Source organism: Homo sapiens, chromosome 2 (genome assembly GCF_000001405.40).
Source record: "Homo sapiens chromosome 2, GRCh38.p14 Primary Assembly".
NCBI lineage: Eukaryota > Metazoa > Chordata > Mammalia > Primates > Hominidae > Homo > Homo sapiens.
In genome coordinates this window covers 230805464-230821551 of record NC_000002.12, presented here as the reverse complement: position 1 = coordinate 230821551, position 16088 = coordinate 230805464, and the positions used below count along the sequence as shown (strand labels likewise).

Genomic DNA, 16088 nt, shown 5'->3' with positions numbered 1-16088 from the left:
ACTGACAGGGGTTAAAGTCGAGGGCAGGGCTGTGAACTAAGGATTACGAGGCACCCTGGAAGGCAGACGAGGGACATTCTTTACGGTGCCAGAGTTCTTGTGCCTGCTTCCACGGTCCCCTCGCCTTCATGATCATTTCACATCAGTAACCTGTGAATACTCCGGGCCGAGTGTTCTAGTTTAGCCTCGCGGTGTTGCTAACAGCGCAAGAGAGGATCTACTCCTCAAACGTTAGGGTCTAAGAAATGGTACCATTAAAAGGTGTGATTTTACTCAGGAAGGGTAAGGAAAACATGAGCACGGGGGCGGTGGGGGGGAAGTGAAGCCCCTGAACAGGGAAAAAGGCAGACAGGAATGGGTGTTAACTGTCCCTCCACTTTCAGTTGGTGATAAAATTCGGGCTTGTGTGTCTCCTGATGAAGCTGTTCACAGTAACACAAATGCAACTGTCTATAACACATCATAAAGACAGACAATGCTGTTTCTCCAAAATTTTATTTTAATTTAAATTACAGGGCCAGCCAGATATTCTGATAAGAAATTCACTTTTCCTTAGGAGAAAGAAAATGCTTTCATGGCATTGTTAACAAATGTATACATCTCCACTTTTTTAAGGGTTAAAAATCACATTAAGTAACTGCCTTATGTAAAATTAAACCTTTATAACACAAAAACCACTTCCAGTATAATAGTCTTGGTAATATGAATATATTAAATGATCATAACTTCAAATGCAACATTTCAAACTTAAATGTTTTCACATTGTTTTGCTTAAAAACAAAACCCACGAAGTCTGAACTACCTTCAGATTCCAATGTAAGAGTAACATGAATGTTGTGTCTGACACGCTGCACCCTCACTTCTTCCACCTAAAAGGCTACGACCTCACTGCCAAAGTGGAAGCTGTTCTAGATGTGTAAGTTCTAAGAATGAGCTTGGCAAGAAGACGTTTCTTCCACTTGGTGTAATCCATGTTTTTACACTAACTCCATACACACAGCACTACACCACAAAGCCAGGACACCACATCACGGCCAAGTCTTCCTTCCTAAACATCCAAGAGATTTTTTTTTCAAGGAGACTAGATTGCCTTATTTCACACAGATTCTGGTAAAGACAGTCTTGAGAAATGCCAATTATGATGTAGACTGCCATTTTAATAAAAATAAAATATATCTATATTTTCTGGAGCTATTTTCCTAACTGGTGTTCCTGAAGGTTTAAAACCTGCTGAAACAGCAATTGGGAGGCCCATTTTACTGGCCAGTATATAATTCCATTAGTAAGAGAGGCTAGCAAAGAATAATCATATCAATTTCTTAATCAGCTGCAGCCATGCTGAATTTGAACTGGCAAACTCTGATTTGTCAGTTGTTAGTTGTGATCTTCATATCACTAAAATGAACAGATACCATTCTAATAACTTTACATAGATATAGTCTAGAAGACATTGTTCTGCCGTGGTCACAGTAACAAAAAAGTGGTGCAAAATCAGTTACTTTATAAATACTGATAATTTGCAGCATTAAGGAACAGGACATTAAAAAAAATAAATTTCCCCATAGGACACCTATGACTAGGAAGTCGTCTTTTCCTAAGAGAAGCCAAAGTTTTAATTATTCAGTTCACAACTATTGTACTGGGTTACTTAGTCTAAGAAAGAAAAGGTGCTCTACAGAGATTTCCCACACACACAAAGAATCAGCATTAATTTAGCATAATCTCTATCATTCACAGATCTGGCAGATTCATTAACTCATTTAAAATGAATAAGGCCAATAGGATGCAGGAAGGTGTGGCTGACTGAGCTCCAGGGCTGTATCGCAGCTTATTGATGGCACCCCATTAGGTAACTGAATACAAAGGACTGGTTTACTTTCTTTTTCTTTTAATGCTGTGATACTTAAATGTTAAATCAGCATTTTCATGTGATCTGAAGTATTTCAATTACATATGAGCATTCATTGTTTTTTGCAAAAACTCAGTATTAGGTAATAGTTACATACTACTACAATAACATTCCTCTGCTGTACAAATTAAACCATTTAAAAGAAATGAGCATTCTAAGAATTATATACAAAAGAAACCTTGAAGCAGTGTTGAAATGAAATGCAAGGTGTCATTGCTAGCTCTACTGTTTTAAAGTATCTTTGAAAAGTAAAATTAACAAATACCCTTCAACATATCCAGGTTTACAAGTCTCAAGAAAATCAAATGTCAAAAAATTCTAGAAAGCTGTGAAAAGCATATATACATTTTCCTTATGATCTTATGAGGCTTCTTTACACTTTTAAGAAGTTGCTAAGTTTCAGTATCAATTTATTCGCATGTCAACTTTAGCTGCCCCCAAACTCCCATTTTGGATAGCTCCCCTCTGATTTCAGATAAAGCTCTGCGTCATCTTCCTTCAGCGAAGGTGCGCGACCTGAAGGTGCGCGATCTGACGCAGGGATGCCAGGTGTGCACTTGCCACACTGCACTCAGATCGCCAACAAAGATGGGTGCAAACACATAGGTCTAATCTGATATCAGTGCCCTCTTTCCTAAACCACACTCTCATCCATACATTTGCCTTCATGAACCCAGCCATGTTCAGAACTCCCGTAGCACAGTCTTTGAATTCTGAAATGACACAAAGATCAAGAGAAAGCCCACATGTGCCCTAGTGTGCAAGCAGCAGCAGCTACGATCTCCAACCTGGACTGAAAAACAAAAGGGTAAAATGAAAAACCGTTCACTTAACAGCAGATTAGCAGTAATGTTCCTCATGAATCAATAAGAGTGCCTGATGCTGAATAGCTAACAGCAAATGCTGAATTTGGATTTAACATAGATGTTTATTGGAGATTAAGCTTCTTGCTGAGCTGGTCTCTTCAAATCCCTGATCTGTTTAACTAAATAGGTCTTCTCGTCGTTAAACTGCTCATCCTCCGTCCTGTCGTTCTGAAACTTGCTGAGGAACTCTATGAGTTTGGCCTGGTTCTTGAGGAGGATGTCTAGGATGGGCTGCGTCTTGTTAGGATTGGCTACAAACACCTGCGTGGAGAGAAACGCACATGAGGCACAGAGAAAGGACAAAACGCAGCCACACCTGAGCTGCGGCCACAGTGCAGAAAAGCAGAGCTGTGCTCTCCTGGGATGGCGCTGAAGTCAGGGTCATTAGGTTTTGCTTTAGAAGGCGTTATTTTACAATTTGGAAAAAAAAATAATAATTACATGTTTTAACACAAATACGACTGATAAACTCATTCTGCCAGCCCTGCAACACAGTGTTTAGTATTAAATACAGACTTTGATTTTAGAATAAAATGGGCAGAAATTATTTCTCAGCACAAGAGGTCAGATGGGATTTTAAGAATGAAACCTCCACAGAAAGCATTAAGAAATGCTTTTGTTTTGCAGTTACTAATCTTCTAGGCCAAAGATAAATGACACTCTTCTATGAACAAACCTTCTCGTTCCCAGATCCAAACAGTAACCCGTTTCCAGGTCTACCTTTCTGTTTAAAAGTCATAGCACACAAATATGAAAAGTGACTGAATTTAATTAAGTCACCTGGATTACCAGAGTGAGGCTAATAATTTCCGTTATTTGCGAATGAAAGACGACGAACAATTCCAGTGGACAGTATCACTGATGCTTCTAGTACTCTACCTTAAAAACGTGAAAGGCCTCAAACTGGATGTTGCGACTTTTGTCTCGCAGCAGGTTCATCATTAATTTGAGGTTCTCAGGTTTACTGATGTATTTTGTCATAATTGTGAAGTTGTGTCTATCTAGTAGTAGTTCACCGAGAAGCTGAGAAGACATTTAAACAATTACCTTGTTATTAAAACTTAAAGAAAAATCAAAGTTTAAAAAAACAATTTATTTTATAATCATCAAGTATAGAGTATTAGTAGGCACTCAAAAGACCGAAGAACTGAACTGAATTACAACCTAAAAGCTACGAAGGGCCTTCTCTCTGCCACCTGAATGCCTTCCTCCCTTTCCCTGAGAGATGAAGTCTACGGGAGGCCTGACGCTTCTCTCTGCAGAGGATGTTCAAGATGCCCCCTTGGCCCCAGTGGGAGACTCTCAAAGCCTCCCCTTTAAGCGTGCATTTGTGTTAGCTCACTAAAAAGAAACTATTCAAGAAAATGGTCAAAAGTTATTGATTATTCCTGTTAACTAACCACAAACCTTAGCTTAATTTAAAACAACTATTTTTAAATTTTATTTAGCGGGACTTTCCAAGATAAAGGGTTTTGTGTCCAAAGTTTTCCATTTGTGTACCCTGCACATGCCACAGTTATCGTTTTATCACAGCTAATTCAGAAAGGTTTACACAAGTGAGTATTTTTCTGCTCCTTCTTAGGTCTCCTGAAGATAATCCAGTGTTTTCTTACTGACCCCTCACCATCACTAATTATACCAATTAATGCTAAAAAAACATCTGTTTACTTCAAGGGTTTACTAATTTCTGGAGAGTTGGTTATATCATATAAACTCATAACTTTTAAACTGTCACGGCTTACTCTTTCCTAAAACCAGCAGTCACTTCTTCAGGTTGTCAACATGCCAACAACCTGGCCAAGGCTGAGTGTGCAGAGCCGGCAGTGGGGCAGGTGCCAAGCTGCGGTCCTTGTGGGCGGTGGCAGAGCTGTGGAGAGCTTGGTCCCTGGTGCCAGCCTGCCTGGGTTCCAATCCTGGCTCCCTACTTCTTGTGAGCTCTGTAATCTTGAGCACGTTACTGAACTCCTCTGTGTCTCGGTTCCATCATCTGTATAATGGAACAGTGCCTCTCTCTCAGGAGAGTGCAGTGAGAAACGAGCATCAGTGTGCAAAGCACGTATCAGGCCTGTATCTGCAGAGATGTGAGTGAGTGAGGGCTAAGGGAAGAAAAGGCGCAAATAGCGGCTCTGTGGCTTTGCTTTAATTGCTTTTGTTGCTTCCTTTCTGGGTTTCTGGCTATGTTCTAGATACTTGAAGTTTCCAGGTAACTGATCTCTGGATAAGTAACTTGTCATCATATTAAATAAAAAATGAGCTGATGTACAAGAAAACAAATCTATTTTACTTAGGCTTTATAAGGAACTCATAGGAAAAACTGAAAGGAGTAGGCTTCATATCAATGTGAATCACAAAATCTATTCTTACGGTGAGAAGCAACCAGTATCTTACAAAGACTGAAAAGTTAGTATTATGTGATTTATAGCTTTCGTGTTCTTTTTCTATCACAGAAACCAAAGAAAATCTGAAGGAAGATGACTTCAAATATGTAATTCTTTTTTTATTTTTTGAGATAGTCTCACTCTGTCACAAAGGCTGGAGTGCAGTGGCACAATCTTGGCTCACTGCAACCTCCACCTCCCGAGCTCAAGTGATTCTCATGCCTCAGCCTCCCAAGTAGCTGGGACTACAGGCTTGTGCCACCACACCTGGCTAATTAATTTTTGGGGCTAGAGACAGGGTTTCACCATGTTGGCCAGGCTGGTCTTGAACTCCTGACCTCCATCCATCCACCCACCTTGGCCTCCCAAAGTGCTGGGATTACAGGCGTGAGCCACCATACTCAGCCCAAACATGTAATACTTTACTAAAAAACTTGGGAGTCTTGCATAGGGAATATAAATTTGCTGGCGACATAAATATGGGAATAAATAAATGCCAATGTGGCTACGAAAAAGAGAGTACAAATTAAAATCCATCTTTAAAGTACGGCTGGTGCTGAAGCCGCTCCATGTGTTCATGGGGCACTCACAGGCCCACCGCTAACATAAACTGCAGGAGCCAGCAACTTGCTTTATATCCATTCCTAAGGGCTTGGAAATGGTGGTCTCAGCCTTTCTTTTCATGTTGGTAATTCTGAATGGCAGAAGGGTCTTGAAGGCCTTTCTCCTTATCCAAACAGCCCAAGAATCCAACATTTGGTCAAAGTTTATGGATTTGCCAATAACCTCCACCCTGCACCCCCGGCCCCAGCTTCCTCCCACAATGGCCCTAGAAGCTACTAACCTAGGCTATCCTGTCTGGCCTTTGTGGCCTTAGAAGATACTGACTCCAGTGAACTGTGTGCATCTGTATAACTGCTGGCAAGAGTAGTATACCTCAGCCCTTTGAGGATCACAGAGCAGGAGAGGCCCCAGGAACCTCCACTCTCTCACACACTGATGTCCAGGGAGGAGAAACTCCTCCCACAGCTGCCAGGAAGTTCTGTCCAACCCCCCAAAGATGAAAGGACAGCAAATGATCCTCTAAGCCAGGGAAGGTGGGGCCCAAGCAACAGCAATGAATGGAAAGCAAGGGGCCTGGCTGGACTGTGCCTGTTCCCCAGCTGTGGCTGTCACGGATGCCCTGCTGCAGGAATTACAGCCTTACACGGAAAAAAGGCATATGCTGTTCTGAAAGAAAGTGCTGATTGAAAATGTGGACGGTGGAGTGTTCCTATCAAAGGACACAAAGTATTCCAGATGCTCCTAGTGTCCTTTAGTCTTTTCCACAGAAAGATAAGGTCTTCAAGGGAGATTTCCCCACGGTAGGAAGGGGATGAGTGGATGGAATCTTGGTCATTATCGGTCCAGACACCCATGAGGGGAAGAACTCTGGGCAGAGTCAAATTTTAAATGGACCTGGCAAAAAACTGAATGGAATTATGATTTTCCCCTCAAATCCTTTGTGATTTCATCTATATCTCCTGTTGGGACTGCTTACTGACAGAGTGGAGGGTATGCACTTCTTAACTGCTATAAGAACTTTCTACAGCAGGGGTCAGCAAACTATCAAGGGCCAAACAGTAAATATTTTAGACTTTGCAGAACATAGGGTCTCTGAGGCATCTACTTAATTCTGCTGCTGGAGCTCAAAACAGCCACAGACAATATGTAAATAAATGAGCACGTCTTTATTCCAGTAAAACTTTACTTACAAACACAGGCAGCTGGCTGGATTTAGCCCATGGGTTGTAGTTTGCCAACCCTTGTTCTACAGTTTAAATCTTAAATTTAACATTCTAACTTGCAAAGGATATCCTGCTTTGATACAAAGCAGCCAAGCCTGTCTACGGTCCACAGCCTCACACGCACATCGCCTCCCTCCACCCTCACACACCTGCCTGTGCCACCCAGGCCACAGCCCAGGAGCACAGCACCTGGAGTGCCTTCATCTAGCTGATATGACTATGGCTCAAAATCGCAAAGAATGCACTGCTAGGAGATGAAGTCTTCTTCAAACTCCCGTTCATTCCCTTTCTGTGTCTCCACCTTACTAGGAAGCAGGAAAGTGCTCCACATGGATCACTGTCCAACTCCATTCCTTTCCGCAAAAATCTTGACCCTCGGCAAAGGTATTTATTTCCCCCAAAGGTCTATGACCCATCCTGCACATCTCCCTTTCCCCAAATCCACATTTCAAACACAAGGTACAGAGAAATAAGCTATACAAAATGGTCTGTCATACCTTCAGTGACTGTCTTTTTGTCACATAATTTTCTGAATGAAGTAACTTCTCATATTCACTGAAAAACTAAAAGATAAGAGAACATAAATCAGGGTTATTGCCAAAAAAAAAAAAAAAAAAAAAAAAAAAAAAAAAAGACTGGTAGGTAACATTGTAAATTAGCTTAAGGACACATTTCTCACACCATGAAGGCCAACAGCTGCCCTGGCTCCCCTGCCACTCTCTTTCATGTCTTCCTCTGACATGTTTGCTCTGAGACTCTCAGGTGATCCCACCAATCCCTTCCATGAAGAGGGCTCCTGGGACTGAGCCCCTTCCCAGTTCCAGCCAGGCCTGCAGACAGAGCTTAAATCCAGGCCTCTCTGTCACCCCAAGCTCCCTATGCACAAAACCTAACTCCCATACCCCTCACACTTTTGCTTGTTGAGTCTGCTCTCATATCTTGATGTTAGATTGAAAAACTCGTATTTTATATAAACAAGAATTCAATTTGTTCAAAGCACAACCACAAAGAGAAAAGTTATCTGCTCTTTCAATGTATCAGGCAAAGAGAAAAAGTAATTCGGAATAGAAATTAAGAGAGGAGAAATTCAGCATTGTGTTAACCAGGCCGACAACGAAGGTGGGGCTTAGTCTCAGACCTGTCGGATGGGAGGGATTTCACTCAGAAATGGAGGGGAGAAAAGAGAATCTGGGCAGATAAAAAAGGAAGGACATAGTATGAATGAAGCCCCGGGGAGAACAAAATGCCACAAATTTAAGAACTGACAGGTCCACTAGACCTTCAAAACAGCGGTCACTGACAAGAGTGGCACTGCTGGATGGTGAAGGCTAGAAGCCCATTAAAGCAGAGTTACAAAACCGAAATGACAGGCACTTGGGGGCCAAGGCTATCCTTCAAAAACCTAGTAGACAAGGCCAGTTAGCCTTAAGATTTTATTTTTTGTCTGTCTGTTTAAACCACAGATAGGTTTAAAACATTCTGAAAGTCTGCAGCACTAGTATGACTGTTGGATCTTCGTGCTTTCCTGAGACTTTCCTTTGGTCATCGCGAGTGCCGGGGGATGCCTGCTTTGTCATCTGTCCATGAGAGAACTACTGGTGTCCATGCTTTATGATGGGTCCTCATTAGCCATTCATCTGTGGTCTAGAGCAAGGGATGGCAAACTATGGCCTGCTGCCTGTTTGTGAAAAGTTTTTCTGGAACACATCCCATGCTCGTTTGTTTACTGAACATGAATTCACTGAAAAGTTTATGTATTATTTACAGCTGCTTTCATAGAACAACAGACAGGAGAGTCAACAGAGACCACATGGCTTACAAAGCCTCAAAAATTTGCTTTCTGGCCTTCTTGGTTTAGAGCTAACACAGAATTATACATTATTTCTTCTGCCTGCCTCTTGGCAGAGGTGAGCTGGCCATCTATTTGGTATGTATTTGAGTTAGATTTCTCTCTTTTCAGAAAAAGCTGTTAAGTCTACCTTCTCAAATTATCATCAAACTGATGATCAAAACAACTGGACCTGCTTTTAATCAGTAACAAAATATATACATCTCAAGTTCTTATATATACAGAAAATGCAAGTTAAGATTTTCTGCTGCATCTTTGGATAAGCTTGGTTGCAAGAAACTTTTCATGGAGAACTGCCTGAAAAGTATGTATGTGGCCCCTGTTTCCTTCAGGTTATGTTAGATTTTTTCTTCTCTGTATTAGGACAGACAAAGAGTAAGTAACAAACCTAGATACCTGTCCTCCCACCCACTTCTGGGTTCCTCAAAGACTTGCTTTCAGGGAACTGCATCGGAGTTGAGCATTTTATTTACTGCAATGCCACGGCAATGACTGTCCACTACATGATACTGTAACTTGACTCTCCTTTAAGAACGCCAAGGAGAGAAACCGGTTTCAGGTCCCAGTGCTAGGAAAGGCTACGTTTCTTTTGAGCAGCCAGCATGAATTTTACTCTACAAATACTGTCATCTTTTAATTGTTTTATTTCTTTCTACGCTTTGGTTATTAGAAAGCTCAGAGCCAAACTGGATCAGAATTTAGAGCATGTTATTTTGGTGTAATAACCTCACCTGTGGCTTTAAATTACCCACATCCCCCACTGCTTCTCCCTCTATAAGATCTGACTGCTTTCTATAGATTTGTTGCCTCACATATGTTCTTCTAAAATCCTGTTAACTGATGTCATCTATTAACAACATGTAGGAAGCTATTTTACTGCAAGATTAAACAGATTTCACTGTAGCAAATGTCTTGGAAATCAGCTAGTCTGTGTCTTTGGTAGGCCTTAAATTACTAGTATGTTGAAAAATCTTTGTGGTGATGATAAATGAACTAACGTTTATTAAGTGCTTCCTGTGTTCCAGGCACTGTGCCATGCACGTCACATACACGTTCTTATCTAATCCTCATGATGATCCCAGTAGACAGGTACTATATGAAGAGCTTTCTTCAGGGTGGAAGATCCTGAAGGCACAGAGGGTGCATGAAGGCAGTTGCTGAAGTCCTACCAGCCCATGGTAGGGCTGAGACTTGCAGCCAGAATCCAGGCAGTCCAAGGCTCAAGTCCATGCTTCTATCTACTGTAAAAAGGCCCTGATGATGACAGAACTGCCATTTTAAAGCAATGAACATACAAGAAACGCACCCATATCCAAATACACATGAGCTGAAATAAAAATAAAGGACCAGCAATTTTTAAGCCATTTATGAGGCTACTTATGAAGGACTTGTGTGCTCAGTGTTGTGTTATGTTCTTACTGGGAGTGGAGGGCAGGGGGAAAAGACAGGGAAAAAAACCCACAAAAGAACAAGCAAGCATAGATTTTTGCCTCTAAGAATCTCAGAATGTATTTGAACAGCAAAGTGAATAATGAAGTATTAATAATACTCAGGATTTCAAAAATTTAAATGAGTAGTGGAAAAATTAAAATCTAAACCAAATTTTGCAGGATAGACAGGAGTTTTAAGTGGATTGTCATTCTTCTAACCTCTTTACGGGTACCTATCAGAATCTTCGACGATGTGTAGTTAAACCAGTACATCACAACAGTGCTTGTGGGTATTGTGGAAGATCCTCCTGAGGCTGGCAGAACTGGCAGTGGTGGAAGAGATCATTTCACATGGCAGCCCTAGAGGCAGTTGTGCGGGTCTAGGGAAATCAAGCTATCAAGCACTCTGGAAATCATTGACAAATCTCTGGGGGACACTATTACCAGGAACATCTGACATTGACTCAGTGCTGGAAGGGACCTTACCGACAAGCTAGTCCAATGTCCTCATTTTACAATAAGGACGGACTTCTAAGTCCCCAAGCGGTTAACTGCCTTGGCCATGGCCACAAAGGAGTGAGCAGTAGAGCAGGAGCAGAGCCGGGCTCCCGTCCCCTCTGGCCAGTGCTGCTCTCATCCTATCAGCTGCTGCCTCCCTTTCTCTCTATTTGTATGCAGCAGAAATGTGGGGCAACTGATGGAAAAGGAAGGAAAAGTTAAAAAGTCAGATAATTTTCCTACTATCTTTACTATCATTTTAGCAGCAAAATGCTCTATTTTCCTCTTTTAAAGCAATAAAAGCTTCAAAGGGCAGTATGTCAATCAAAAAGATCTACTTCTGACCAAGTAATATTCTATAAGTTGTTTAAGTAGAGAAATAACTACGGCACCATTTATAAACATTACATATGCAAAATAAATATTCTAGTACAAAAACCTAATGTAAGTCTTTCATTTCTGGTAACAAAAGTTACAATTTATTATTTAAAAATAGTATTTCATATACTTACTCTATCATAATGCTGTTCCAAAAATTCTGCACTGAGCAATTTATGTCTTGTAAGTAAATCCTACAAAAAGAAAAAAAAATTGTTTACAGTTGTTCTCCAAGTTTTCAAAAAAGCGAATCCTAAATTCCACACCATTTTACCTAATAAAAACTGTTGTTAAAAATCACCATACTTAACATTTTAGCATGAATTGTATTAAAACACTGATTCTATAAGAGCAAAATAAAATCATTAATTATTTGGAACTGCAATTTTAATGATTATGATGAGTCATGGATCTACAGCTCTTAGAAAAAATGATAAAGGCAATGGAAATATAAACTAAAGGAAAAGAATAAGGAATTGTAGTGAAATTAAAGTTAACACTCCCCAAGTGGGCTGGTTATTTAAAAACAAAAACACAAAAACAAAGCTAACAGTAGTGGTAAACTGTCAAACAATTCCACGCCCACTTAGCGCTCCCGGTGGAGAAAGAGGAAATTTCTTTTATTAGAAAAAGGATTAGAGGCTCTATTTTCTTCCTCCTAAGTTCAATCACATTCAGGTTCATAGCTAACGCAAATTTTTTAGAGGTAGAGTGTGTTTTAGGTAAGCAGAATGTTGGTACGATAACGTAGAATTAACAACGACTGTGAACCTCCAGTCTGATTTTGTATTACCATGAAACAGAACCCTATGCCTCACCCTATAGCTTTCCCAAGGATCATTCATTCAGAAATATTTACTAAGTGCCAGGTAAAACTCTAGGTGCTAGGGCTTCAAAGACAAAAAGATATGATCCCTGCCTTCAAGGACCTAGAAGTTAGCAAAGGACTAGCCTTGGTCTCACTGGGTGGGAAAGAGAATGGGAACAAGTGACAGCAGGAAGGCCTGGCCAGTAGCTGGTAAACTAATGGATTGAGGTCCTTCGTACCACTGCTAAAGAAGATAGCGCCAATCATCGCCTTTCTCCCAACCACCTTTCCTAGTTTTCGTTCCTGTTTATGTTTGAAGGTTGCCCAGGTTACAAAGAACTAGTGTTTCTTGAAGTATGCTGAAATGAAACACTGGTTCTGAGAAACGCTTTAAGAAATGTCCCATGGTCAAGCAAACGAGGGAAGTGCCACAGCTCACTCCAGATGTCAGGTCCTAGACTGCACAGGGAGCTCTTTTGTCACCTACTTTCTGTGAAAGCCCTTCCCGAAAGGGCCTCTGTACAGGCTTTCCCCACTGCGTGGTTACCTACTGTTCGTCTTTCGGACCTCAACTCCTCCTGATTGGTCACCAGCACAAAAGCACTGGACATAGCTGTGACTCTACACTGGTTTGTGGGATTATTTGATTCAAGTCTCTCTTATGCTACACTGTAAGTTCCATAAATACCAGGATCGTGTCTGTTTTCATTAACCTTTGAATCCCCAGCACCTATGCAGTGCCCAGTGCATAGTAAGTGCTTAATATTTAATAAATCAATGAATGAACCAATAAAATCAGGGAACATGTCTGGAAAAACATCACATTCAGCAATCTTCAAAGTATGCTTTTGAGAAGGTTTCTAACCCCACCCCAAAGATTTACAGTTGTTCAAACTGCTGGATAGGGTATGTGTTATATTTCCTGATCATAACAGGGATGGCCAGGAAGGACCTACCCAATTTTTCCCAAATCCTCCTTGAGGATTCAACAGGCCATATTAAAAACCTGAAGTTTATTCTGAGTACACTCAAGAGTTTGGCAAGAAGTGCTACAACGTTTCCCCTCCAGGGGAAGGAGAAGAAGAAAGTGGTAAGAGAATTTCCATTATCTTCGTACCGTGGTCCATGGGGTCACAGATGCAGAGAGAGGAACATGAGGACCTGAAGGGGAATGTTATCAAGTACGGACAGCACCATTTAACATGCTATTGTGGTGTGTTTATGGCTGATGTCCCGCTATGGAGGTGCCACAGGGCAAGTTTTGTCTGTAGGGTTCACTGCTGAATCCCCCACCCCTAAAGAATAGTGCCTGGCCGAGGTGGGTGGATCACCTGAGGTCAGGAGTTCGAGACCAGTCTAACATGGTGAAACCCTGTCTCTACTAAATACAAAAACCTAGCTGGGTGTGGTGATGCATGCCTGTAATCCCAGCTACTCAGGAGGCTGAGGCAGGAGAATCGCTTGAACCCAGGAGGTGGAAGTTGCACTGAGCTGAAATCGCACCACTGCACTCCAGCCTGGGCAACAATAGTGAAACTTCACCTCAAAAATAAAAAAAATTAAAAAAAAAAAGAAAAGAAAAGAAAAGAAAAGAAAAAAAGTGCCTGGCACAGAGCAGGCACTGACAATCTTGGTGAATAACAAATGAATATGTTAACTTAGGAATTCAAGTGTCAGGATCCCTGTCAGACAGTGTTGCTTCTAACTTTTTGCGACTAAATCGTTCTGGAGGCCAGTGTGAGGAAGTACAGCAGAAGGAACTTGCTGCTCACTGTTCTGTCATAACCTCACGAAGAGAGTGCCAAGCAGGAGGGTCCTGAGAGACACTGGCTCTCAACTGAGGTTGGATTCTTAGGAACAGGCAGGAACAAAGTATCTACTCTATAAAGCAAAGGCCCTCTAGGTGTTAACATGTTGCACAACAGATTTTTACTGAAGGTTTGAGAGAAGCGAGTATTCACTCTGTAAGGTATCTCAAAAGCAGCCAGAGGCTCACAGATGGGCCACACAAAGGGGGACCTCTAACATCTTCCCATGTAGGGGAGATTCTATGTGTTACCATCTGGAAACTCAGGAAACTGCTGCCAACCAGAAATCAAATCTCAATGGCTTTGGGGTAAGAGCGATTGAAAGGGGCACTCAGAGTCTGCCCAAGGAGCAGGTGGACCCAGTACGTAACAGGATGAAAACCCTTTGTTAAAAAGGGTCATTCAAAGGCCTGGGGTGGGGGGTTGGGGGGGTAAAACACTAGTAGGAAAAGAGCAACTGTTAAGCGCCAGCTCAGAGAAAAAGGTGAATACTAAGCTGGGAAAAGGAGGAGATGAGGACAATCAGCAGAGCCTCTATCTACTGAGAGATGAGAAGGAACCTTAGCCTAGTGACTGCAGCCAAAAACTTCGGACAGCTCAAACTGGGGTGAGTGTGGGTGGGAGGGGGGTGTGTGTAGACCAACAGAATAGAACATAATGGGCAAAGGGCATGCAGACCTGCAAAGTTTAGGGTGCATGTGACCCCAGACCAGCAGAGTTGCTAGGTCAGTCAGCAGAGGGGAGAATAAAAGGATTCCTCATCTTCCATCTATCTGAATTCCAGTCTATGCCAGGCCCTCATATAATGGAAGAAAGACTAGGGATCATTTCCCAAGTCCAGCAGACTAAGCAGCCAACTTTTAGGGTAGGCTGAATTTAAAAGCTTCCTAAAAGCTTGAGTTTGGGCTGAAACATCATGTGACTAAGACAGCCCTGGGATCCCTGAAGAAATCCTGCTAACCCAGGGGGCTTATTTTCACATTCATCTTGGCAAACCATTTGGCCCCATTTCCTACTTGATGTTTGATTATGTCTAAGGACAAGAAACTCAATTTTTCCAGTTGTGTGGTTCACCTCTGGAGTTCTTACAGTGAGAAAGTTCTCCCTGTGCTAGGGTCAGACCTATCCCCAAATACTATGCCAGGAACCATCAGAGCTGACAGATCCATGTTTTGTCCATTTTCTATGGGACCCCACTTCAAATACAAGTAGTGCTCTCATGGCAGGTCCCTACCGAGGCTTCTCTTCTCCAGGCTAAATACTTCCAGTTCCTTTAACCACTCCTCGAATGACAGGGTTCTGAGTCCCCCTCACCATCTACTGTCTTCTGAAAGTCATCTATTTGTCTATGTGCCTCTTAAAGTGTAGCGCCTGGAATGGAACACATTTATGTGTTGTTACCTGATAAGCTCATAGTGGAGTGAGACTATCAGTTAGCTCCTTAGGTTACATACTACGTGGTCACATGGAGCTCTGGGGAACACATTATCATACTGCTTAATTGTATTGGGGGTATTCAAAATTGTTTACTCAAAGTGGGCTCTGGTAGCCTGCCTGCCTGGGTCCGCAGTCTGACTTCCCCATTTATTGTCTGATTTCAATCAAAATCTCTAGGCTTCACTTTCCTCATCTGTAAAGTCAGTAATAACAACACTGCCTTCCTAGGGTTGAGTATGATATGAAATTATCTACATCCTAGTAATTATTATACTTAGTATCTCATTTTGTATTTATTATTATTGTGTTATTCCTCCATCCCATATTTTATACAGCTGGGTCCTCAAGTGGAAGACCTCAGTTATCTGTATTTAACTTCATCCTGCTATATTCTGGTCTCTCTGACCTTTCTAAGTTTTAGGATCCTCTGTTATCTGCTGTCCTTCCCTTCCTGGCTAACATCTACACATTTGATAAGTATGCCTTGTCACCTTTTATTTCAGTCACTAATAAAAACGTTCAGCTGGGTGGGGAAAGCCCCGTGGAAATTCGCTAGAAGTTTCTCTGCAGGGTGACGGCAATTTACGTGCCAATAGCATATGGATATAACATACAACTGGTTGTGAATTACTATACTGAAACTCCATCTAGCTCAGTTTTACTGTTTCCATGAAAACAGATTTGTAGAATTATACAACATCTAGCATATCCTTGTTGTGATGAAGGAGTAATTCTAACAGCTAATGTTTACTGCATAGACACTGTGTGAAGGCACAACAACTGATATGGTCATGTTATTACCTGAATCTGAACAGATGAAGAGATTGGAGGTGAGATCAGCAGCAGAGCTGGTGTGAACCTAGGCAGCCATGCCCTTTTACTCCCCCAATCCACCAGTACCTATGAGATCAATATGACTGAACTTCCTCTTAGTGAATCC

The 16088-nt window shown here is 41.7% G+C and overlaps 1 protein-coding gene across 5 annotated transcripts in view; it reads right to left on the bottom strand.

Moving 5' to 3' along the window:
• Positions 1-476: 476 nt before the first annotated feature.
• The window catches only part of CAB39 (calcium binding protein 39), a 108234-nt gene continuing 92622 nt past the window's right edge, over positions 477-16088 (bottom strand). For 3 of the 5 annotated variants that reach the window (NM_016289.4, NM_001130849.2, NM_001130850.2), the window contains exons 6-9: positions 11230-11289; positions 7438-7503; positions 3655-3798; positions 477-3036 (exon numbers count right to left, since the gene is read on the bottom strand). In NM_016289.4, the coding sequence (NP_057373.1) occupies positions 2848-3036; positions 3655-3798; positions 7438-7503; positions 11230-11289 (459 nt within the window). In that variant the 3' untranslated portion in view covers positions 477-2847. Of the gene's footprint in view, positions 3037-3654; positions 3799-7437; positions 7504-9787; positions 10914-11229; positions 11290-16088 lie in introns of those variants that run through there. The other 2 variants (XR_007076407.1, XR_007076406.1) reach the window with 2 other exon arrangements.